Source organism: Homo sapiens, chromosome 10, assembly GCF_000001405.40.
Source record: "Homo sapiens chromosome 10, GRCh38.p14 Primary Assembly".
Classification (NCBI taxonomy): domain Eukaryota; kingdom Metazoa; phylum Chordata; class Mammalia; order Primates; family Hominidae; genus Homo; species Homo sapiens.
Genome location: NC_000010.11, coordinates 96016523 through 96042968, shown reverse-complemented (window position 1 = coordinate 96042968; position 26446 = coordinate 96016523). Strand labels below are relative to the sequence as shown.

General features: G+C 40.0%; 1 protein-coding gene and 1 long non-coding RNA gene across 21 annotated transcripts in view, besides 1 other annotated feature; one reads left to right on the top strand and one right to left on the bottom strand.

The window, feature by feature from the left end:
• ENTPD1-AS1 (ENTPD1 antisense RNA 1) overlaps nt 1-26446 on the top strand; it is a 337030-nt gene that overhangs the window by 47267 nt on the left and 263317 nt on the right. Inside the window, exons 3-4 of one of the 4 annotated variants that reach the window (NR_134320.1) lie at nt 15624-15762; nt 21401-21769. The exons of 1 other annotated variant lie outside the window; for it this stretch is intronic. This is a non-coding gene — a long non-coding RNA (ENTPD1 antisense RNA 1). Of the gene's footprint in view, nt 1-41; nt 185-15623; nt 15763-21400; nt 21770-26446 lie in introns of those variants that run through there. 2 more of the 4 variants (NR_134322.1, NR_134321.1) reach the window with 2 other exon arrangements.
• Nucleotides 9224-26446, bottom strand: part of CC2D2B (coiled-coil and C2 domain containing 2B) — a 126075-nt gene continuing 108852 nt past the window's right edge. For 12 of the 17 annotated variants that reach the window (XM_024447995.2, XM_024447996.2, NM_001349008.3 and 9 more), the window contains 5 exons: nt 23632-23766; nt 23145-23267; nt 18058-18116; nt 15580-15757; nt 9224-11149 (listed from right to left, as the gene is read on the bottom strand). In XM_024447995.2, the coding sequence (XP_024303763.1) occupies nt 10961-11149; nt 15580-15757; nt 18058-18116; nt 23145-23267; nt 23632-23766 (684 nt within the window). In that variant the 3' untranslated portion in view covers nt 9224-10960. Of the gene's footprint in view, nt 11150-15579; nt 15758-18057; nt 18117-20863; nt 21573-23144; nt 23268-23631; nt 23767-26446 lie in introns of those variants that run through there. The other 5 variants (XM_024448005.2, NM_001001732.4, XM_024448002.2 and 2 more) reach the window with 5 other exon arrangements.
• Nucleotides 15330-16529: an enhancer, noted in NCBI's record as "CDK7 strongly-dependent group 2 enhancer chr10:97786197-97787396 (GRCh37/hg19 assembly coordinates)". NCBI's record gives its function as "activates an origin of replication core promoter dependent on BRD2, BRD4, P300/CBP, MED14 and CDK7 cofactors, with strong dependence on CDK7, by STARR-seq in HCT116 cells {active_cell/tissue: HCT116}" and the evidence as "EXISTENCE:reporter gene assay evidence [ECO:0000049][PMID:35650434]".

The following is a 26446-nucleotide window of genomic DNA, read 5'->3' as shown; positions in this document are numbered from 1 at the left end:
CCTAATTAATCTCTTCCCCCTCCTTATTTTCGTTGCTGTAGGGATTCCCAAGAGCTTTGAATGAAGACATTTAAGATTACTTCTAGTAACCTTGCTTGTCAAACCCATGGTGGATGTAATTAACCATCTGTGCTCGTAAATCAGGAAACTGCAAAACTGTGAGAACACTCCGACGTCAATTGAGGTGATATGGGGGCTGAAATGTGATTAGAGGAAACCTAATCAATTGTATTTTAACCTCTTTGGTGGATTATCACAAAAGAGGTGGATGGTAACCCTAGGACAGTGAGACTGTCCACTTTTCTGAGACTGGAGATCAATCTCTTAATAGTAAAACGTAAATATTTTTAAAACTTCACCCCTTTTACTTTGAATCCTTTGTCCAAAAAGATACATGATGATAAAGAACTACTACAAAGTGATAAATACATTTTATGTGATTCTGGGTGGCATCTTCATTTGAAGATCATCAGCAGACATGTATATGAGCCGTACCCTATCCATAGACGATGCTTATACCCAGGAGAGCAGGCCCGCAGGAACCAAAGGCAAGAAAAGGGAAACTCAGAAGCTGAAGTTGGCAGATCCCGGCCTAACCCGACATAGTCCAGGGAGAAGGCTGCCCTGGCCTGTCTCTCAGTTGCAGGGTCCTCTAGAGTGAAGGTAGACACATCAGGCTAAAAGCTTCATGCCATTTTTAATGGCATTTAAATAGTGTCTACATCCTTGGGTTCCATTTCATGACTATTAAACAACTTTATAATAATTTGGCTTCTAAATAACTGTCCAGGGCCTATTTAAGAACACTTTCAGAAAAATGGGGCACAGACTATAATCATTAGTATAAGAAGTAGACTGTATTTATCGCTTCTACTTTGAAAATATTGTTCACTGGGATATATTTGTTCAGAAATCATTATTGTTTTCTGGACTTGCCTTGTGATGAGAAGACTTCAATGTCCATTTCCTTTTATGGATTAATGTTCATTTTACACATATATTTTGCCATAGTGTGTCTTAGATAGTAAATCCTTAAAATGCAAAGTTCAAACTTACTATGATTTATTTAATTCCTTTAGAGCAAGGTGGACACAGTTAAGGTATTTACTTAACTCCTAAAGTCTCTGCTCTCATAGAGTTTTTATTCCACTAGAAATAGAGATACAATGAACAACAACAAAAAAACATATCACATGGTGACAAGTGATGTGAAGAAAAATAAACAGAAAAAAAGGCTAGAAAGTGACCATGGGTGGGCTGGGTGTGGTGGCTCATGCCTGTAATCCCATCACTTTGGGAGGCTGAGGCCAGCAGATTACCTAAGGTCGAGAGTTCGAGAACAGCCTGGCCAACATGGTGAAACCCCGTATCTACTAAAAATACAAAAATTAGCCAGGTGTGGTGGTGGGCGCCTATAATCCCAGCTACTCGGTAGGCTGAGGCAGAAGAATTGCTTGAGCCCGGGAGGCGGTGGTTGCAGTGAGCCGAGATCGCGCCACTATACTCCAGCCTGGGTGACAGAGCCAGACTGTGTCTCGGAAAAAAAAAAAAAAAAAAGAAATGGGTGGACTTTGTTTCATGATAAGGTAAGGCATGCAAAGGCCTGAGGGAAGTGAGAGAGTAGGTACGTATCAGGTGGCTGAGCATTCCAGGCCGAGGGAATTGGTACACGCAAAGACTCTAAAGTGAAGGCATGTTTGGAATGAAAATAGAGGCCACTGTATGTCTGGAGTGAAGAGGAGATAGGAAAGACGTTCTAAGTCAAGGAAGCACTGATCACCAATGGTATGAAAGAATGGAAGTAAAAAAGGCAGAACATCTATATAAAGGGCAGAATAGGGAAACTGCAGAGTCCTTTGTGACTGCAGCATAAGGCACAGGTAGATTTGACAAGAGATGAGGTGGGACCAGATTCTCTGGAAATCTTCTGTAACTCACAGAACTTTACGCCGTGGAAAAGCACTGATTTTTTAATTGTTTAAGTTTTTTAAATGAATGCATGAAAAAGCTAGAAGATTTCAAGCCATAGAAGACTATACAGTGACTAGCAAGTTTCTTTCCCTCCCTGGTCCCAGTTTTTTCCAGAGGTGACACCATTACTCTTTTCTTTTGTAGCCTTCCAGGGATATCCAGGTATTTATAACCATGTATATATATATATATATATATATATATATATATGAAACTCCCTTGCCTCATTTTATGTACAAATGGTAGTATGTTACATGCTCTGTTGTGTACCTAGATTTTGTCATACAGAATATTCCGGCGAACATTCCATAACAGGACATCCAGGATTCCTTTTAATGGCAGCAGCATATTCTACTGGATGCAAAGGCCTGGAAGCCAACAGCCCTGGGCTCTGGTTCTCTGTTCTTGATTTGTTGCTATTTGTAGTATTCAACTCATTGCAACTACTATTCATATCCACCATCTCTCAGTTACACTTGTACAGTAGTCTCTTAACTGGTCTTATTGCAACTGCTCCTGTCCTTCTTGAAAATATTCATCACCTAGTAGTTGGAGTGGTCATAAAAAGGTAAATCACATCTGAGCTTGATAGTCAAGAGTTCCTAGATCACATTTCCAAACTGTTTTAGCATATTGAACAATGTTAAGGATAGTTTTTAAGTCTACTTTATAAAAAATTAGTTCCAGGTATTTGTAATCACAGATATTTGTAATCTGTAATTTATGAAAAATATTCCAAATTTTAAAATGCTATATAAGATTCTATTTCTGGATAAGATGAATGTGACAGTTAATTTTATGTGTCAACTTGACTGGGCCAAGATTGGGTGCCAGATATTTGGTCAAATATTATTCTGGGTGTGTCTGTGAGAGTGTTTTTGGATGTGATAAACATTTGAATCATGGAGTAAGTAAAGTGGATTGCCCTCCCTAATGTGAGTGGTCCTCATCCAATCAGTTTAAGGCCTGAATAGAATAAAAAGATTGACCCTTTGTCGAGGAAGAGAGAATTCCTGCTGCCCAACTTATTTGAGCTGGGACATAGGTCTTTCCTGGCCTTCAGACTCAAACTGAAACATCAGCTCTTCTTGCATCTTGAGCCTGCCGGTTTTCAGACTGGAATTACCTGTCAACTCTCCTGGTCTCCAGCTCCTGACAGCAGATCTTGGGACTCCTCAGCCTTTATGATCATGTAAGATATAGATATATAACTATAGATATAGATATAATTCCTTAGTTTATATATCTGTATCTCTGTGTATATGCATATACACACATATATATGCAGATAGATAGGTAAATACACACATATGCACATGCACATTCTGTTGGTTCTGTTTCTCTGGAGAACCCTAACACAATGGATTAAGCCAGCTTCACCCTGTCTCTCCCACCGAATGTAACTATAAAATCTGGACAGACTGCATGAGCAGCTATTTGAAGACAATGTAAAGTAAATAGTAGCAGGCAAGTGGGGAGGAAGACCTTAATTTGAAATATCACCAAACTGGTGGTGAGTTACCCCTTCTTCCTCCAGGATTCCCCAGCTTGGATTCAGGAAGCCTGAAATCTAGAAATGGGCACCAGGGCACAGAAAGGGAGAGCCCTAGGAGAATCCCTTTTGTTATAAGGAACAGCAAAGGAGTCTCCTAATGATCAGAGTGAGGCAATTCCCATTTATTTATTTTTTCTTTCTTTTCTCTCTCTCCTGCTGTAGCCCCCAGGCATTCTTCAGCAGATTGGTGGTAGCCACAACAGTGGTAATAGGGGCCAACAGGTGCCGAAAACTTAGGAAAGGAAAGCCTCTTATCTGATCAGAACAGCTGTGGTTGTTTGTTTTCCTTTGTCTTCCCACTGCCTTACTCTGGATGGAGGTACAATAATGGGAAGTGTGGGCAAAGAGGTGTAACTAAAAACCACAGCTTTATGGCTGGAGAACTGAAAAAGGGAGGCCCAGGGAACTGAAAAGTACTGGGGAGACTGTGGAGAGGGAGGAGCAGCTTTGGAAAATGATCCCACAAAGTGCTTATGAACAACTGGGCTTACCTCTGAGTTGTGCATACATAGATCCACTCTGAAAAGACTAAAAACTCAGAACTGCCCAGAGCAGTGGCTGGCCACTAAGCAGCACACATATGTGACAGATCTGAGTAGCACAGAAAGACTTTGAAAATGGACCTGACATCGAAACCACAACCCACAAAAGGCTAGCCAGAACTTGCAGCCTGAACTCAACCAGATTGGTTCCCGGCTACAACAAAAAACATCAACATTCTCCAAAAGATTTAAGTAAGACGTAGATCTCCTAACATACAGCATATTCAAATTGCCCTGGATACAACCCAAATTACTCAGCCTATGAAGAACAAAAACAAATCTCAATTCTCATGGGAAAGACAATCAACAAACACTAACACTAAGATGACAGAGAATTATTTGACAAGACTTTAAAATAGCTATTATAGTAATGCTCCAAGAAGAGAAAACTTTCTTGAAATGAATGGAAAGATAAGAAGTTTCAGCAAATAAATAGAATACATAAAGAAGAAATTAGATGGAAAATTTATAACTAAAAAGATAGAAAAAAACAAAACTTAAAAACACTCATGGGATGGGCTCATTAGGAGAATGGAGATGTCAGAGTAGTCAGTGAACTTCAAGGTAGATCAATAGAAATAGTACAACCTGAAAAAAAGTTGGAAACAAATGAACAGAGACTTGGAGACCTGTGGGATAATACCCAGTGGTCTAATGCTTATGTCATTGGAGTCTCTGAAGGAAAGGAGAAAGAATATGGTACAGAAATATTTGGGAGAATAATGGCTGAAAATTCCTCTAATTTGAGAAAAGACAAAAACAGATTCAGAAACTCAGGTGATGCTAACAAGGATAAACCCAAAGAAATCTATACCCACACACATAATAAAACTGCTAAAAACTAGGCTGGGCACAGTCGCTCAAACCTGTAATACCAGCACTTTGGGAGACCAAGGTGAGTGGATCACTTGAGGCCAGGAGTTTGAGACCAGCCTGGACAACATGGTGAAACCCCATCTCTACTAAAAATACAAAAATTAGCTGGGCGTGGTGAGGTGCACCTGTTATCCCAGCTACTTGGGAGGCTGAGGCAGAAGAACTGCTGGAACGTAGGAGGTGGAGGTTGCAGTGAGCCAAGATTAAGCCATTGCACTCCATCCTGGGTGACAGAGCAAGACTCTGTCTCAAAAACAAACACACACACAAAAAACCCTTCTAAAAAACTAGAGAAAAAAATTGAAAACAACCAGAGAGAAACAAAACATTACTTATAGGGGAAGAATGAAAAATTCAACGTATGGTGGGTCTCTCACCAGAAACCAAGAAGACCAGAGAGAAATAGAACAAAATTTTTTAAATGCTGAGGTGCCACAGAAAAGAATGAAATCATGTCCTCTGCAGCAACATGGTTGTAGCTGGAGACCATTATCCTAAGTGAATTAATGCAGGAACAGAAAATCAAATATCACATTCTCACAAGTGGGAGCAAAACATTGGGTACTCATGGACATAAAGATGGCAACAATAGACACTGGGTACTACTAGAGCAGGGAGGGAGAGAAGGGGGGAAGGACTGAAAAACTAACTGTTGGTTACTATCCTCACTACCTGAGTGATGGGCTCATTCATATCTGCAACCTCAGCATCATTCAATATATCCATGTAACAAACCTACACATATGCCCCCTTAATCTAAAATAAAGGTTGAAATTTGTTTTTAAGTCCTGAGAGAAAAGAACTGTCAGGCCCAGAATTCTAATCCTGCAAAAATATCATTCAGAAATGAAATTAAAGACATTTGAAGATGAAAGAAAACAAAGACTTGTTGTCAGTAAACCTGCTCTAAAAGAATTGCTAAAGGACATTTTTTAAACAGAAGGGAAATAATACCAGAAGGAAACTTAGCACATCAGGAATGAAGGAAGAACAACAGAGTGATAAATGTTTGGGTAAACATTCTTTTCCACTTGAGTTCTTTAAAATACATTTGATGGTTAAAAGCAAAAATGTGAACATTGTCTTCTAGTGTTTTCAGCATATACTTCAACAGATACAATATATTAGACAATTATACCATAAAGGCAGAAGTACAAAAGAATATGTGGTAAGATTTCTACATTCCACTTAAAAGTGGTAAAAAGTAGATTCTGTGTAGGCTGTGAAAAGTTAAATGTGTATTAGGATAATCCCTAGAAAAACTTAAAAAATATATACAAAAACATATAGTCAAAAATATAATAGATACATTAAAATGAAATACTAAGAAATGTTCAAATAACCTGAGAAAGCAGGAAAGAGGAAACAGTGGAACTGAAACAGAGCAAATGAAATGCAAATAATGAAATGATAGACCTAAGTCCAAACATACCAACAATTACATTAAGTGTAAATTGTCTAAACACACCAATTAAAAAAGATTATCAGAGGGTATAAAAAATATCATAGGCCAGGCATGGTGGCTCACGCCTGTAATCCCAGCACTTTGGGAGCCTGAGGTGGGCAGATCATGAGGTCAGGAGATCAAGACCATCCTGGTCAACATGGTGAAACCCCAGCTCTACTAAAAATACAAAAAATCAGCTGGGCATGGTGGTGCACACCTGTAATCCCAGGTACTTGGGAGGCTGAGGCAGGAGAATTGCTTGAACCCAGGAGTCGGAGGTTGCAGTGAGCCGAAATTGCACCACTGCACTCCAGCCTGGCGACAGAGCGAGACTTCATCTCAAAACAAAACAAAAACCGTAACTCAGGTATATGCTGTCTACAAGAAACTCATTTCAACTATAATTATATAGGTATGTTAAAAATAAAAAAATGAAAATATGTATACCACACAAACCCTAATCAAAAGAAAGCTGGAGTAGCTACATTAACATCAGACAAAACAGACTTCAGAGCAAAGAAAATTACTGAGACTAAAGAGGGACATTGTATAATGATAAAAGAGTTAATTCATTAAGGAGACATAAATCCTAAATGTGTGTCCATCTAACAATAGAACTTAAAATACATTAAACAAAAACTAACAAAACTGAAAGAAGAAATAAACTCCCTGGCCAACATGGTGAAACCTCATCTCTACTAAAAGTACAAAAATCAGCCAGGCATTGTGGCAGGCGCCTGTAATCCCAGCTACTCAGGAGGCTGAGGCAGGAGAATCGCTTAAACCTTGGAGGTGGAGGTTGCAGTGAGTTGAGATTGTGCCACTGAACTCCAACCTGAGTGGCAGAATGAGACTCCTTCTCAAAAAAAAAGACATAGAGAAACTTATAATTACAGTTGGTAACTTCAACACTCCTCTTTCAGTAATAGAACTCATAGACACAAAAGTAGCAAGGATATAGGAAAAATAAACAACATGTCAACCAAATGGACTAAAAGAAATTCCCATCAGTAGGGGAATGGTTTGAATAAGCTGTAATAAATAACATTTACAACCAAGGTTTCTACATACTACACAACTCTAGGGGTCCTTGCACATAAACTTTCGAGTCATGTGGTGCATAACCTCCTTAAGTGTATGCAGTGGTCCTGCCCACACTGTAGAATGTTATGCATCCTTTAGGAAACATGAATAGTTCACTTGGAGGTGTTTTACTATTTTTGAAGGAAAAAAACAATATGCAGAAAAACATATGTCATCTCATTTTTCTAAGACAGTAACAGATGCATATATGTGCATGTGTGTGTGTGTTGGCATATGAATATTTGAGAATGTTGGTGAAGTGAAAGGATACATGCAACATGGTTGGTAAGAAGGTAGAAGAAGTGAACAATGTGGGTGGGGAGAGGAGAGCAGTGGACAGAGACTCAAGCGAAAAAAAGAAAAAACCTGCATTTCAAAAAACATGATGACATTTATGCACTTATATAAAATAATGAGTATCTGTAAAAAATAGTTTTTAAAGTAATTTCAAATATAAAAAAGAAAAATATTATTTTATTCAGTTGCTTAAAACTTTTCAATGATTTCCTGTTGCACTGTAAATAAAATCCAAACTCTTTACCAAGACCTACGTGATCTGGTCCTATCTACCTCTCCAGACTTATGTGCTACTACTCTCCCTTCCCCAGGCAAGTCTCTTTTTGGACAGAAGGACTTCACAGTTGCAGTTCCCTCTACCTCAAATGCTTTTTGCCACTGGTCTTTGCATGACTGGCTTCCTCTCATCTGTGGCAGACTCTGATTTGCCTACCCAACAGCCACCCTCTCCTCCTTCCTTACCAATAGGATACTGACTTTAGTTGGGAGAGCAATATGTCCATTTAAAATACTTGATCTCCCAGGCTCCCTTATGGCTAGGAGTGATACAGTTCTGGCCAAAGGGATATAAGTAGAAGTTACTGGCATGGCTTCTTGGCAAGCTTTCTTAAAAGAATGGAACCAGTTGGCATCGTCTGTCTTCCCCTTCCTTTTCTACATTTTTAAGCCATGAAAATGGTTGTGAAGCTAGAACTGAGGTTCTCAAAGTGTGGTCCCCAGATCAGCCGTCTCAGCATCACCAGGGAACTTACATGTGCAAATTATCAGGCATCACCCTGATAATTTCTGAATCAGAAACCCTGGGGGTGGGGCCCAGCAATCTGTGTTTCAACAAGCCCTTCAGGTGATTTTTATACCTGCTGAAATTTGAAAGCCACTGGGCTAGAAAATAGAAGTCTCTTTAGAGATCGCAAAGAAATTGGATGAAGTTAGTAGGCCTCTTGCACCAAACTTGGACTGCCTCCTCTGGACTTGGAGACATGTGAAAAATAATCCCTATTTGGTTAAGCTACTGTGGTTAGGTTTCTGTTACACGCAACTGAATGCAATTCTAATGTTAAATCATTTTTAAAATATCAGCTTAAATGTTATCTCCTTAGGCCTTCCCTGACTGCTCTGCTTATACCCTTCATCCCCACCAAAGTCCTTCTCTATCATCCCATCCTATTTGTTTCCTTTAGAGCACTCATCACACCCTGAAATCTTCTCACTTACTTGCTGTGGTTTGTTTCCCCTTTAAAAATGTAAGACTCACACTGGTAGAGTCTTTGTCTTTTCACCACTGTGCTCCAGCACATTATTAAATAGATAATACACAGTATCTGGCATGTAATGGATGCCCTGTAATTATTTATGGAATGATATAAAGAACTTTGCAATTATACATTCCACTTAAAATCATGTATTTTTCAAATGTTTTCATGAAAAAAAGATTCATTACAGATAATTTCATGATTTTCAGGAAAAAATTTAATTGAAAAAGTAACACTCATGTAAAAAGGATACAATATAAAAAGGTCCTCCATGCTTTCCTATGAACACTTGCTACCCTACTCTTAAGCAGTCTATCAATTCTAAAAACCCTGAACAACAAATAAAATAGCTATGTAAATATTCAAAGCTGTACAGAAATGAGTTGCATGAATTCAGTCTGTCTTTGGCATCCTCATCTTTCCATCAGCATCATTTTGTGCTAAATCAATCAAAGTGGGGGACTTGTTTAATAATAAAACTTCACATTAAATTTAAACAAAAACATTCAAATAAAAGTAAAAATTCTGATCAGTTTTCTTATGCATGCCACAAGACACATACAGTTAGGTTTTAACCTGGGAGAAAAAAACATTCCTTCACCCATGTCCCTACTTTGCCTCTTCTAGTAATCTCAAGCTTGGTCCAAGACTAACATCACCACAAATAAGTGAGGCCTTTTCTGGCACCAGCCCATGCACATTTAGGAAACAGATACAGATTGGGTATTCCCTGCAGATACATTTGGGGTCTCTGCTCTCTGCTTGTGGGAGTGAACCAAGAAACCTCAGTGGTTCTTCAATGGGAGAGGTGAATGTTCTTTTATCTTTACCTCATACAAAACTGCTCTGGTCAACCTTTGGAAATCCATACTCCTTGATTATTTCTTTTTGATAAGTTATTTTGTCATATGTAAGTAAATTATATAAACACATTTCTTTTAATGAAGGACAAAACAATAAACTAGAAGAAAGTATAGTGCTTCCTACTTAGACCCCTGTCCAGTCTTTCTTGAGGGGCTCTTAGGATCTAGATAAGCCACTACTAAGAAAGAAAAGCAGCAAAAAGTGCCAGAGGCAGAGTTGGGGGCTGCTCACTAAGGAAAAAAAGAGTCCTGAGATTTGTCAAGACCATTTCCTCCCTCACAGAATTGGGAGAAATTAGAGTTTCCTGGGAGTTCCTTCCAAATACATGGAGCTGTAAGAATTTCATGTCAGTAGCATCCAAAGTGCAAACTTTTGAGAAGCTTCCAGAAGCCAACATCAGCCCAACATGGTAGATTTTATTTTATTTTTCTTTACCAGTGAAATAACATTTTATCCATGAGAGGCAATGACCTTAGTTTTCCACTCGAGCAGCTTCCATCTGAAATTGTATCAGACCCAGCATCAAACGTACCAGCCTTAGTTTAGTAGTGACAACATTCTATAAGGCTGGGCTCTCCCTCATAACAGTGCATCAGAATTATCTGGGGAGCTTGTTGAAAATAATGCAGAGTCTGTAGCTTCACTCCCAGAGGTGCTGATTCAGTGGGTCTTGAGGAGGATCTAGTAATCTGCATTTTCAACAAGGCTCTCCAGATGATTCAAATGGAGGTGGTGTGAATTCTACAATTTGAGAAACATTGGTCTTAGGAGAAGAGGCCAAAATTGCTTCTTTCCCAGAATAAGACCTACTGCAGACAGTGACCCAAGAAAGCCAGACTATCCAAAGGTCCTTCCTGGAGAGGTCTCTGGTGAGAAGCTCATCTAGACTCCTCCTCAAAGACTCACTCAGGGGTGCGAGTCTCCATAGTGCCCAGCTCTGTAAGTGAATCAAAAATTGGGCCCAGCACTTAGCTGGACTTGAGAATAAACAGCAAAATCTCAAGGTACCAGAAAAGTTTTTGTTGGTACTAGAGGACTATAGTACAATCTTTTACTTTGCTCTGCTTCCTTTTCATTGATGTTGAACTAAGGAAGCCAAATAGACCCACACAGATAATATGTTGTTTGGGTATGGGTGAATGTATACAGCTAAAGCAAATTCTGTCTGGGGAAATTCAGCAGAGTGAATTCCAGTTTGATAAACAGCATCAATAATTGACTGTACATCAATGTATGGCATCTGGATGGGAAATCCCGTGACCTGGATCAAAGACAGAACAGCACATAAACCCACATTACAACTGGGTAATCTGGAATTACTGTATGCAAAAAGATCACAAAAGCCTCAAAGAAATAGTACTCATAAAATACTATAATAGTTGTCTGTGGGTGCCAAATTATGTTCTAGGTACAGCTAAATGCTTCACATACATATTTAATCCTCAAACAACCCTATGAGGTAGGTATTACTATAATCCTTACTTTACAGATAGGAGCACAACCAGGTCTGAGTCCAAAGCCTGCACATGTAACATTCCACAAACTTTCTAGAGAGCAAACTGCTGGTGAGAAAATTACTTGATTCTACATATGGGGGATTTAAGTGAGAATTTCAGAACAATTTATTCAACATCGATTCAGTTTATGTTTATTAAGTGACTACTATGTGATGGGATTAAAGGATTGTGGAACATGGTCCCATGGAAAATTACCTGTTTAATAATACATAGATGACAACCATTCTTTCACACTGTAATTGCTTAGCTCAGGAGGATTTTCCTGATCCTTAAATCTGTTCACACGCTCTTCCCATGTAGTTGTGTAGCACACTGTCCTTCCTTGAGCTTACTTAATAAAATATGTTGCAATTACCTGTTTTCTGGTCTCTCTCTAACTAACCCATAATCTCTGCAGATGTACAAGACTGTATCTGTCCTGTGTACTACTATAACTCCAGTGTCCAGCATAATGCCTGGCACATAGAAGAAAAAAAATAGATAGCATTTACTAAATACTTACTAGGTGTTGGGTGCCATGGTAATTATTAACTCACATAATCCTCAAGACAATGATAAAATGATAACTTTTTTAAAAAAATTCCTGTTTTCTAATGGAGTAGAGGGTATAGAGAGATTCGGTCACTTGCCCTAGGTCAAAGCTACTGAGTAGTTAAACTAGGATTTGAGCATGGGCTGCAGGGTTTAGTCCAGTTTTATTGTAGACTATGTATTACTAAATTGATTATTTTACATAGGTACTCCACATTTTAAACCTTGGCTTATATTTAACTATGCTTTATTATCTGTTTATCTCCTAATTCTACTAAAAACAAAGCAAAACCTACCTTACTTCTTTTACCATATGAGGAAACAGCAAGAAGGTGTATTATATATACAAGAACCCCTTTTCTGCCAGCACTTTGATCTTGGAATTCCCAGCTTCCAGAACCATGAGAAATAAATTTCTATTGTTTATAAGCTTTAAAATAAAGCAAAGCAAAGCAAAAACAACTTCCTCCCTATTCATGAGTGAATAGTGCCTGTAGATCCCTCCCTCCCCACCTAAGTACTCAACTCCCAATAGATTCCTTACTTCATCTCAGAGAGTTCCCTAGCAGACACCCTCTAGTCTATTGCATGGTAAGGGGAAGGAGTCTCACTCTTGGGAGGCTGAGGTTTTCAAAAACCCACTGGGCCAGTTTATAGGGAAGAAGAGGTGAAAGGATGCCCAGAGCTTGGGGTAGAGTAGGAGAAGGAAAGGAGCACCCTAACAATATACTAGATGCCCACCATGTTTGTTTATGGACTTGCTGAGTTTGAGATGTCTTTTTACCATCCAAAAAGATGTCAGTGGCCTGGCTGAATGTATAAATTTGGAAGTACGGTTGGTCCTTCATATCCATGGGTTTCGCATTTGAGGATTCAACCAACCACAAATTGAAAATATCCAGAAAAAAATAAAAAATAGCAGGCTGGGCACAGTGGCTCATTCTGTAATCCCAGCACTTTGGGAGGCTAAGGCTGGAGGATCATTTGAGCCCAGCAGTTCAAGACCAGTCTGGGCAATATAGTGAAACCCCATCTTTACAAAAATATTTTAAAAATTAGCCAGGCATGGTGGCAAGTACCTGTAGCCCCAGCTACTCAGAAGGCTGAAGCAGGAGGATTGCTTGAGCACAGGAGTTTGAGGCTACAGTGAACTATGATCACACCACTATACTCCAGCCTGGGTGACAAAGTGAGACCTCGTCGCAAAAAAAAAAACAAAACAACAATAAAAAATAATACAAATAGAAAACAATATAATGTAACTATTTATAATTATTACTTATAATACCTAACTATTGTGTGAGGTTGTACATAGATTATATGCAAAGACTATGGTATTTTATATAAGGGACTTGAGCATCTCTGGACTGTGGTATTTGTGGGGGTCCTGAGATAAATCTAATGATACCAAGGGACCACTGTAATTTGCATGTAGAAGATATTGAAGCTTGCCTGGAGTCCTCTTGCCCAGAACAAATAACAGGGAATTGATCTACTACTAGAGGTTTTTCTTAGTTTTTTAGTTGCAGAGTGGTTTCCTTTTGGACATCTCTTTGCAAAACCTGTAATTTATACATCATAAAACATATAACTGGTTCCAAGTTAATGCCATGCAACATGGTCCTAGTAATAATTCTTCAACACATTTGAAGTTTCTTGGTTTATAAGTAAATGCATTTTTAAAAATTTTTAATTTTTGTGGGCACATAGTACATATATAGATATACATATATATATATATATATACATATATATATATATATATATATATATATATATATATATATATATGGTACATGAAAAGATATTTTGATATGGGCATGCAATGATGCAATGCATAGTAGTCACATAATGGAAAATGGGCTATTCATCCCCCCAAGCATTTATCCTTTGTGTTATAAACAATTCAATTATACACTTTTAGTTATTTTTAAATGTACAATTAAATTATGATTGACTATAGTTACCCTGTTGTGCTATCAAATACTAGGTCTTATTCATTCTATTTTTTGTATCCATTACCCATTCCCCACCTCCCTCTGAACTCCCACTCCCCTTCCCAGCCTCTGGTAAGCTTCTACTCTCTATCTCCATGAGTTTGATTGTTTTGCTTTTTAGATCCCACAAATAAGTGAGAACATGTGATGTTTGTCTTTCTGTGCCTATCTAATTTCACTTAACATAATGACCTCCAGTTCCATCCATGTTGATGCAAATGACAGGATCTCATCCTTTCTATGGCTGAACTGTACTACATTGTGTATATCCACCACATTTTCCTTATCCGTTCATCTATTGATGGACACTTAGGTTGCTTGCAAATCTTGGCTCTTGTGAACAGTGCTGCAACAAACATGGGAGTGCAGGCATGTCTTCAATATACTGATGTCCTTTCTTTTGGGTATATACCCAGCAGTGGGATTGCTGGATCCTATGGTAGCTCTATTTTTAGTTTTTTGAGGAACCTCTAAACTATTCTCGATAGTGGTTGTACTAATTTACATTCCCACTAACGGTGTACAAAGGTTTCCTTTTCTCCACATCCTCTCCAGCATTTGTTATTGTCTGTCTTTTGAATAAAAGTCATTTTAATTGGGGTGAGATGATACCTTATTTAGTTTTGATTTGCATTTCTCTGATGATCAATGATGTTGAGCACCTTTTCATATGCCTGTTTGTCAATTGTATGTCTTCTTTTGAAAAATGTCTATTCAAGTCTTTTGCCCATTTAAAAAATCAGATTATTGTATTTTTTTCTTATAGTTGTTTGGGCCCCTTATATATTCTGGTTATTAATCCCTTGTCAGATTGGTAGTTTCCGAATATTTTCTCTCAGTCTTTTCACTTTGTTGATTGCTTCCTTTGCTGTGCCGAAGGTTTTTAACTTGATGTGATCCCATTTGTCCATTTTTTCTTTGGTTGCCTGTGCTTGTGGGGTATTACTCAAGAAATTTTTGCTCAGACCAATGTCCTGGAGGCATTCCCCAATGTTTTCTTGTAGCAATTTCATAGTTTGAGGCCTTAAACTAACTCTTTAGTCCAGCTTGATTTGATTTTGCATAAAGTGACATATGGGGGCCTAGTTTCCTTCTTCTGCATATGAATATCCAGTTTTCCCAGCATCATTTATTGAAGAGACTGTATTTTCCCCAGTGTATGTTCTTGGGGCCTTTGCTGAAAATGAGTTCACTTAGGTGTGTGGATTTGTTTCCGGGTTCTCTATTCTGTTCCATTGGTCTATGTTTTAATGCCAGTACCATACTATTTTAGTTACTAAAGCTCTATAGTATAATTTGAAGTCAGGTAATGTGATTCATGCAGTTTTGTGGGTTTTTTTGCTTAGGATAGCTTTGACTATTCTGAGTCTTTTGTGGTTCCACATAAATTTTAGGATTGTTTTTTCTATTTCTGTGAAGAATGTCATTAGTATTTTAATAGGGATTGCATTGAATCTGTAGATTGCTTTGGGTAGTATGGACATTTTAACAATATTGATTCTTCAGTAAGTGTATTTTAATGCTATAGCATCTATCTTTAAGGATCAAGATAAAAGGCCTTTCAGAAATATTTAAGACTGCTATTATTTAGCAATTAACAACATATATAAAACAAATGTCATTAATGCATTAAATCATATACAAACCCAATAAAATTGTAGTATTCTTTCAAATTCATTATCTCCTTCAGATGAAACAAAGCTTCCTATGCCAAATTCCAGCTTAGGAAGGATTTGTCGCAAAATAAAAGTACACTGTCGATTCCAATGTGTTGGGTGTTTAGGTCGCCATTCCATCACTTTACTCTTCAGAGTCCTTTCGATCCTAAGGTAAGAATCCAAAGGTAATTTTATGACAAGTTATAACTCATTTGGTAAATATAATAAGAGTTTTGTGACTTTTTTTTTTTTTTGAGACGAAGTCTCGCTCTTGTCCCCCAGGCTGGAGTGCAATGGTGAGATCTTGGCTCACTGAAACCTCTGCCTCCCGGGTTCAAGTGATTCTCCTGCCTCAGCCTCCCGATTAGCTGGGATTACAGGCACCTGCCACCACACGTGGCTAATTTTTGTATTTTCAGTAGAGACGGGGTTTCACCATGTTGACCAGGCTGGTCTCAAACTCCTGACCTCAGGTGATCCGCCCTCCTCGGTCTCCCAAAGTGCTGGGATTACAGGTGTAAGCCACCGTGCCCAGCCTGTGATTTTTATTCAAGTATGAGAATGATACTTTTTGGACTTAGGAGGAAACCAGAGCTCTATAGCTAGAGGTGTCTGCCACCATTCACATTAATGAAGCTGGGGAGAGGCAGGCTCTTACTTGGCTTGGGAAGACAAGAAGCCTCTTGGGGATAGCCAGCAATTAACTCTCCAAGGCACATCTCTTTTCCAGTTACCCGTATGTAGGCAGCTGCCTACTGGGTGTGATTTGACAACACCTACCATCCGATTACTGGGTTGACATTCCTACTCTTCAAGACCCTCCCTTGACTTGGACATTTTGTTTCCAAGAAACTGCCCTTATGAAAATCCACGCATCTGGTCTGGGATGATGTTAGCAGGGATGGGATTATTACATGAGTTAATTTAGCAAGCAGAGTTGGGAGGAAACAAGGCATTGAACAGGTAAGTTTGGTGATCAGCTTCCCCCTATTTGAATGTAAGCTCCATAAGGGCAGGCATTGTTACCCATATATATCCAGCCCCTAGAACAGTGCCTGGGGATGAATATGCCAGGGAGGAGAGAGAGGGGACACAGTGTGGGTTGGTTGATGGGGCTCTCCTGAAAAGCCTCTCTGTGCAGGATGATTGTGTGGCATTGATTCTCTAACTGCAGTGTATGTTATAGAGGAAGGTGCTGGAGGTCTCTTCTTAGCTGAGTTTATAGTGCAACTAAGTAGTTTGGAGTTTGTAGAGGGTCTCAATAGCGGCTATGCATCAGAATCACCTGTAGCGCCTTATCAAAATGTTTCACCTCCAGATATTGATCCAGGGATGCTCATACCTGTATTTTTAAATAGTTCTATAAGCGATTCTAATGAAAATCAGTTGGGAACCATTTCCCTATTGCATTTCTTCCTTTTTTGTTAAGAACTGGGAAATGAGGAGTAAGAATGACAGCTGGGGGGCTGGGGGGAGATGTGTGCTAGTGAGAAAGGGAGTGGTAAAATTGCTTTGGTCATGCTCTGTGTTGCTTGCTTTGTAGTGGCTTCCATGACAGCCTGCTATGTGAGTGTGAGCCACTGGAGGCAGTCAGATCTAGAAGCCTCTGACACACATGGCCTGAGAGCCAGTCCTGCTGCAAAGCCTGTGGCCCTTTGGGCTTGACTGACTGACTTCCTCAGGCACTTACGTGTAGGTGCTTGGGAGGCTGGGAGTGTCCAGCTGTGGCAGTACTGCCGTTTCTACTGCCTAACTGGGACATTTTTACCAGATGTCAAGTCACGGGTCATTTACCTTCATGTCCTTTCAAGAAGTGTTGGCTACTGCATTATTATTACTATAGGCTCCAACAGGCATCTATGTTGAGAACTTTCCAGTGGTGGCCCACAATGTTTCCAGAGTTAACTTAGTCTGTCCTATCAAAGAATGCCCTGGATGGCAGAGGGGCCACTTTTCCATGGATGTACCAAGAACCAGGTGGTTCAATGGAACTTTTTTTTTTTTTTTTTTTTTTGCAAGGCCTCACTCTGTTGCCCAGGCTGAAACACAGTGGTGTGTTGTGTGATCATATCTCATTACAGCCTCAAAATCCTGGGCTCAAGCGATCCTCCCCCTCTTAGTCACTGAGATTACAGGTATATGCCATCATGCCCAGCTATATATATATATATATATATATATATATTTTTTTTTATATATATATATATATATATATATATATATTTTTTTTTAGTAGAGATGACGTCTCCCTATGTTGCCCAGGCTGGTCTCAAACTCCTGGGCTCAAGTGATCCTCCCACCTTGGCTTCCCAGAGAACTGCGATTATAGGTGTGAGCCACTGGGCCAGCTGGAAATATTATAAACTCCTTTTTCATGTTTCTGTTGCTGATCTAGCAGGTATTTTGAATGGATGGGTCAGAAGACTGAAAGGTAACCCAACAAGAGATTAGGGGAAAACACAGTACCTATTCCTTAGATCTTCTACCATGCTTTTATCAGTTTCAAAATAAATTATTTCTTCAGGCTGAAATAGACAACCAAAGTTAGAATAGATTCTAGAGACCATGTTTACATCACAGTCACTCCTGGAATGCCAGCTATAATAAGGAGGAAGACAAACCAGGCTTCTGTGGCAAAAACACTCAATTCCATAGGTAACATGCAGACCACAGCATTTTCTTTTATTTTCACACTGCTTCACGAGAATAGGGGATGGGGGATGGGTTTACAAAAGATATATTTTCATGGGTAAAACAGACCTGGCGCCCCAATTCATTTTTCAAACAGGCATTTGACACACTATGGATGCTACTACCAAATAATCTTTGGCAGCTGCACTGGTGTCTTCCACTGTGACCTTGGTGAAGTCTTCACCTCTCTGTTCTGAGTTTTTAACATAGGGATAATAATAGTGCCTACTGCTCTAGGGTTTTGTAAAGATTTTAAAATAAAGTAATACATGTAAAGCCTGGCACATATGGAATGCTCAACAAACATCAGATATTATTATTCTAACATGGTTGATCATCTTCCTTCTTTGATTATTTGTTTCTTTCAGCTGGAAGAAGCCAGTTCTTTGTGTATGTATGCACACATGTGCATGCATACACACACACACACACACACACACATGCACATACACAGAATCCATTTCAACCTCCCCTGTCTCCAAGCCTTTGCCTGGAACAGTGCTATTCCACGTTTCTTCCAGTTCCCTTCCTGGGCAGGATTTTCTGGGAGGAGAGGACTTCTCAAGTTCCTTGCCAACCCAACCCTCAACTCCTTGCAGGTCTCACATGGACAAGAGTGAGGGGCTGGGTTTAGACAGTTTTTACTTTGGGTATTCCTGAGCTGAGGAAGAGGCAGCTGTAGGGACAGGAACAGATGTTCCCCCTTCGTGAGTGGAATGAGGGTTGTGTAAAAAGGAGGCAACATTTGATAGGCCTCTAGGTTCCTAAGTGTGGCCTCCAGACTGGCAACCTCACATCCGGGAACTTGTTCGAAACACAAATTCTTGGCCCTCACCTGAGAACTACTGAATCAGGAACTCTGGGGGTGAGGCCCAGCAACCTGTGTTTCAACAAGCTCCCCTTCCGCTGGCTCTGATGCCTGCCATGGTGGAGGAGCACTGGATTAGAGATGGTCCCAGGCACAGGGAGGAGCCCCACAGTACAGCATGGTAGGAGATGGAAGATACTGAGGAAGGGAAGGATGACTTTGTGTCATCTTGCAGGAGCTGGCAGCTATCTCACACAGGATAGGTGGACGGAATTCCCTGATTACTGTCACCAACGGCTGTCTACTCCTCACTGGGCAACTCCTGTGGATTAGTTAGGCCACTTCAGGCCTGAAAAAGAGGCCTGGTTTATGCTGACTTGAGAAGTTTATGGTGTGTTTATCCTTTCCTTTTCTGGCAAAGGCCTCTTTCTTTCTGGGCACTCATGTCCTTCAAAACTTCAAGGGGATTTCCCTGTTAACACCACTTCTGAGTACCCACATTCTCCTCATGCACATTCAAATTTGTGTTCACAATTGTGTGTAATAGTGTTCACTCTAGATAGTGGTTTATTCTGGGATGTATGTGGCAAGGCAGAAGATGGAGGGCCATGAGCCCACAGGAAAGAAGTAGAGATACAAGCTAAACACAACTATGAGTTTTACATTTATAGATTCAACTTGGCAGAAGGCTTTAGTTTCAGCCCTAAGTCAGAGTAGCTTTTACAAATACAATTTTGATCACAGCAGCCCTTGCCTTAGAGATGCTGGCTTCTGTCTGCCCTGAGGACAAAGGCCCAAACTCTCACCAGGACTGTCCACCCCAGCATTGGCCAGCCTGGCCTTTCAGCTCCTGGACAGATATCTCCTTGTCACTAAAGGTCTTCCCATTCGCTGTTCCTGCTATCTGTCGGGACCATTCTCATTCCTGACTTTTATCTAGGCCAGCTCCTGCTCACCCTTCCTCACTCATGTTTCTCATCACTCTTTCCCAGGAAGCCCCTACAACTCCCCTCCCTCAGGGCCTCCTGCTGTGCACTCCCCAAAGCACCATAATATCTTCTGTAACAGCATTCATTGCTCTGTACTGCACTTGCTTGTTCCCTTCTGTTTCTTCCTCTAGAATCCAAGTTCCAAGAACACTGAGATATGTCTTTTTTCTTGTAGTATCTACATCTAACGTAACACTGGCTCATAGTGGGAAATCAATAAATATCACCTGAATGAACAAGAGAATGATTATACATTAAACAAACAAGAGCCTCATCTTGAAATAGATTATTCTCCCCCTAGGAGGCATCAATGCTTTGGTCACAGCTTTGGGATGGGCAAAGCAAGGTATGGACTCTAGAGGCTTTAAATGTGGCTTGCTCAAGAGAGAGAAGCACTTTTCCCTTTCTTTAAAATGACTTTTCAAGTAGGAAATATAAAAATACCTATCTATGCTTGCATCTGCATGGAGAATGTTAGAAGGATGCACAAGAAACTACTGACAGTGACTTCTTTGAGAGCGGGAAAGAGATGTTGAATAAGAAAGAAACCCATCACTTTTTTTTTTCTTTGACAGAGTCTCATTCTGTTGCCCAGACTGGAGTGCAGTGGTGCAATTTCAGCTCACTGCAACCTCTGCCACTCTGGGCTCAAGTGATTCTCCTGCCTCAGCCTCCTGAGTAACTGGGATTACAGGTGTGCACCACCACATTCAGCTAAATTTTTTTGTATTTTCAGTAGAGACGGGATTTCATCATGTTGGCCAGGCTGGTCTCAAACTCCAGACCTCAAGTGATCCACCTGCCTCAGCCTCCCAAAGTGCTGGGATTACAGGCGTGAGCCACCGCACCCAGCCAGAAATCCATCACTTTATACACTTGGGCCCTCTTTGATTTCTTCCCCCACAGCCACCATGCATTCTTTTTGATAGTGTGAATTGCCTTGAATCTATACAGGCAAACATAGAGAATAATGTAATGAACATCCACCTAGCATACCTACCACCTAGCTACATCTGATCTTTGCATTCTTCCATATTTGTTTTAGACTTTTAAAAAATAAGTAAGATACTACAGACAGACTTGAAGTACTCTGTATACTGCTCCTTGATCTCATTCCTTTTTTTTCTCTCCCCAAAAGTAACCTCTAATCTGAATTTGGTATTTATCATTCCCATGAATGCTTTTCTACATCACCACATATCTATGTATACATAAACCATATACAGCTTTCAAACTCCACATAAATGGTTTTGTACTGTATGTGTCATTTCATGTCTTTTTATTTTGCTCAGCATTACATTTTTTATATTCTTTCATGTAGATATGCATGACTCTTGGCCAGTGATTCTCAACCTCGGCTGCACATTGGCATCAACTGGGGAACCTTCAAAGCTCCTGGCATGTGGGTTCCACCCTCAGAGATTGTGATGTAATGCACTGACAGTCAAATTGGGAACAACTGTAAATTGGCTCAGTTCATTCATCTTTTACTGCTGTACAGAAGATTTCATTGTATAAGTACTTCACAACTCATGTACTGATTTCTAGTTGATGAACTGTTTCAAATTTTTGTTATTTCAAGCAATTCTCTAATGAATGTTGTTGTACTTGTCTCCCCGTGAATGTTCCTCTGGGGTATATACTGAGAAGTTTGAATTGGCACATCAAAGGTTGAGCATCTTCACCTTTACCAGGTATTATCAACATATTGTTTTCCAAAGCATTTACAGAAATGTGTGCTTCCACCACTTCTCTGCCTCTTTGACAACACTCAGTATGATCACACATTTTTTTTTGCCAATTTTATGCATGTGAAATAATTTTATTGTTTTAGTTGTTTATTTATCTTAGAGAAAAGGTCTTGCAGTAGGCTCCTAGGCTGGAGTGCAGTGGTGCGATCATAGCTCACTGTAACCTCAACCTCCTGGGCTCAAACAGTCCTCTCACCTAAGCGTCCTGAGTAGCTGGGACTACACTTGCGCATCATCACCATGCCCGGGTAGTTCTTTTGTTTTTATTTTTAGAGACAGGGTCTTGCTCTGCTGCCCAGGCTGGTCTCGAACTCCTGGCCTCAAGTGATCCTCATGGCTTGACCGCCCCAAGTGTTGGGATTACAGGCATAAGCCACCATGTCCAGCAATTGTTTTATTGTTTTAAATTGTATTTACTTGATTATGAGTGAGGTTTAGCATGTAAGTTACTGCTTCTATGAATTGTCTTTTGCCTAATTTTTCTATTGTTCTTTTGCTCTCTCTTATCCTTTCTCTCTCTCTCCCTCCCTCCCTCTGGGCTCCTGTCTCCTCATTTGTGGACTGTGCAATTGCTGACACCCTGCACAGCTTGGCCCTCAATCCAGAAACAGCTGTTGACATGGTATTTCTAGTGCCTTCCCAAAGTAATACTGAGTACATCACAGATCCATTAGCCAACCCATGTAGTGATTGAGTTACTTCTTGGTCTCCTGTACCCTGAGCCCCAGACAGTGAGTCTATAGCTTTCCTTCCCATCTCCTTTCAAAAACAGGGAAGTAAAGTAGCCCCACCACAGTCCCTGTCTTTAAAAAGTGATGCTTGCTCTGGTTCTCTGGCTTTCATGAAGCATTTTCAGATCTTGCTGCCATCCCTGCTCCAGCCTACTCACTGCTAGTGTTTCTGTCCTGTTTCTATTCCGTGAGACAACTATCATGGTTGGGAGTCCAGAAAGCTTTTTGTCAATTTTTCTACTTGATCCTTACCATAGATATGGCGCAGGAGGGCTAGGTCAGAGTTAGAACTTACTACACATCTTGAACATTATATGTTATGTTTTATGGTGAAAAAATTTTAAATTCTATTTTAGCATCTAAATTTGCATTTAAGATGTCACTTTCTTCTCAATTTATTTTTTCTGCAAGTAGGGGAAAGAGCCTGTGAGCTGGATGGCAGAGAAAACTAGTTTTTAAATTAATATTGCCAAATATTTCAGTAACCAACCAACTATAAAACATAATAAGAGCTGTCACAATTAGTAAAGATTAGAAGCAATGGTAACTCTCATACAGACACCCCTGGGAAAATATGATTTACCTGTATGCTTTGTATTTTTGTTCCTTGAACGTTTTTTGGAAGCAACTGCTTCCAGAAACTTTCCTTTGAATAGTCAAAAAATACAGCCATTGGTGTATTATTTTGTTGAATATTAAACCAGACCTATGAAAACATTAATATAACATTAGTGTAGGTCCATAGGAACACAAGGCCCATTGTTGGTAAGGAAGGAGCAAAATTTTACAGTCTTACTACTCAATGAAGTGGCAGAATCCCAGCGGGGTTCTGAGGCAGGAGATAAAGAGATTCTAGGGTTTCATGATCATTAGACTACCTCAACGGTTCTCATCCTTGAAGGCACTACACAATCACCTGGAGGAGCTTTAGTGATAAAAGATTGCCCCGGCCCCATGCCCTAGGGAATCTGATAGACTATCTATATTTAAAGTTCCCCAGGTGATTCTAGTGTGTAGCCAGGGTGACTCTAGAGGAGATAACTCAAGATTTTTTTTCCCCATATACTTACATTTCTATCATCAAACAAACAATCTACACTTTTTAAGGGACAAAACGGGTCAAACTGCTTATAACATTGGCCAGTTGATGGATTCCAAAGCAAATATTCATTAGTTTCTTGAGTTACTACATAAGCCACATGCCCCTGTATGAGAAAAAAGAAAGTAATTTTTGGTGGATTTAAATAATTTCTATATATGGAAATTATACTGTGATGATTCTAATTTTTAAAGCCTTTTTTAGTGGAGTGTGGTGGCTTATACCTGTAATCCCGGCTCTTTGGGAGGCTGAGGTGGGAGGATCACTTGAGCCCAGGAGTTTGAGACCAGCCTGGGCAACATAAGGAAACCCTGTATCTATCACAAAAAATTTTTTTTTTAATTTGCTGGGCACAGCGGCACACACACCTGTAGTCCCAGCTACTTGGGAGGCTAAGGTGGGAGGATCGCTTGAGCCTGAGGAGTTGAGACTGCAATAAGCTGTGATAATGCCACTGCCCTATAGCTTGGGTGACAGAGTGAGATCCTGTCTCAATAACAAACAAACAACAAAAATAAATAAAAGCCTTTTTGAGGGCTTTTACATTTTCTTTGAAATAAAAAAAAAAAAAAGAAAGAAAAAGAAAAAACAAACCAAAGCTCCAGAAATCCTCAGCCCCAGGTTAGCATGAGGATTCAGATGAAACAACTTGTGAGCCAGTGCTGTCATGTATGGTCCTGCAGAGTGTGCCCCGATGGCAACACAGCTGCTGTTTTAACAAATCAGTGCATTACAAGGGTTTCCCAACAGATAGTACTGCAGTGTTTTGAGGTAGGGCACTTTTGTCTAATTCATACAAGATGCTATATGGACTATCCCTGCTTTGGTTAGAATATATTTGGAGACTGAGGGTGAACACCAGGCAGAGATAGGAAATGGAAACTGGCTTAAGGCTCTGACAAAACCAAGTAAAGTTAAAAAGCCATTAAATTAAATTTGGGAACAAGATTTGCAATTAGAAGCTAAAGGGAAGTATGCAGGAAACCAGTCTGAGGAATAAAAAGTAGTTATTATGTTGTTATTATTTTGCTCTGAAAGATAAGACTTTTTGTAGTGTAAGCCTATCCTACCAAAGAATAAAAATTTTTAGGTAATAATAATAATGAGACTATTTAATTTATTGAGTATTTATGTGCATCAGATATTATGCTAAGAATTAACACTAACTTTGTCACTTTCATTCACTCCAAATTCTGGGAGGAAGGGTTATTATGCCCATCTTTCATATAAAGAATCAGAGGTTAAGAGCCTTGTCAAAAGAGCCTGTGAGTGGCATTACTCCTGTCTCATGAGGAGGTAACTGAGGCTCAGAGAAGTAAACAAGGCTGAGATCATACAGTTAGTGGCATTGCTGGGTTTTTTGTCTGTGTGTGTGACAGGGTCTTGCTCTGTTGCCCAGGTTGGAGTGCAGTGGTGCCATTATAGCTCACTGCAGCCTCGACCTCCCAGGCTCAAGCGATCTTCCCTCCTCAGTCTAAGTATGTGGGACCACAGGTATGTGTCAGTATGCCTGGCTTATTTATTTATTTATTTATTTATTTATAGAGGTGGGGTCTCCCTGTGTTATCCAGGCTGATCTTGAACTCCTGAGCTCAAGCAATCCTCCCTCCTCAGCCTCCCAAAGTGCTGGGATCATAGGCATGAGCCACCATGCTCAGCAATTGCTGCATTTTAAACCTGTGTCTGACTGTCCCCCAAACCCATATTATTAAAACTACGCTGTGCAGCCTGCTCTCCTCGACTTCACAGCCCTTGCTCTTGGTCACTGTGCTCATCATCTTTATAGTAAAGAGGAGGCTTTACCTTAACCCCATGGCTGAGGTGAAACTGTGCAGGGCTACCTCCTGCAGTGTTGGTCCACAGGTACTAACGCTAATAGTTGCCAAAATATTGTTGACTGTTTACTGCCATCTAGTGGCACTTACAACTACGGCAGGAGATCATATAGAGGGAATGAACTTCTATTAATAGTTAACAAGCTTGGCAATGAAATAATAAACAATGCCGAGAGGATACAGGGAAATAAATCATCATGACAAAAACCATAAGGCAAGACTGTAAATACTGACACTTAGCAAGATACTCATGGTAGGGCTAGAAACAGTTCAGAAATGATAGCTTTCTGGTGGTACAAATGTAGAAGAAGCATATAAATTAAGCTGTAAACATTTCAGATAGGGAAACATTAATTCCTGGCTCACTTCTTATAAGATTAAAACCTCAGCAATGGAGCATGAGGAGAAGTGTTTTTTTTACAGATCTTAAAATACACTTATTAGAAACATATGATGGGCTGGGCACAGTGGCTCATGCCTGTAATCCCAGCACTTTGGGAGACCAAGGCGGGTGGATCACCTGAGGTCAGGAGTCAAGACCAGCCTGGCCAACATGATGAAACCCCATCTCTACTAAAAATACAAAAAATTAGCCGGGCGTGGTGGGTGCCTGTAATCCCAGCTACTCGGGAGGTTGAGGCAGAAAAATCACTAGAACGCGGGAGGCAGAGGTTGTAGTGAGGCGAGATCACGCTATTGCCCTCCAGCCTGGGCAGCAAGAGCGAAACTCCATCTCAAAAAACAAAAATAAAAACAAAAACCATATGATGATCATGGTGGTAACGATGGATAACAGCTGCCACAACTACACTATAACTATTACTACATTACCACCACCATCACCACCACCTTTATTGAGTCCAGGTGCTGCTCTCAGTCACTTAATATGTACTAAGTAATTTAATATTCCCAGTAACCCTATGATGTAGCACTATTTTTAGTACTCTTTTA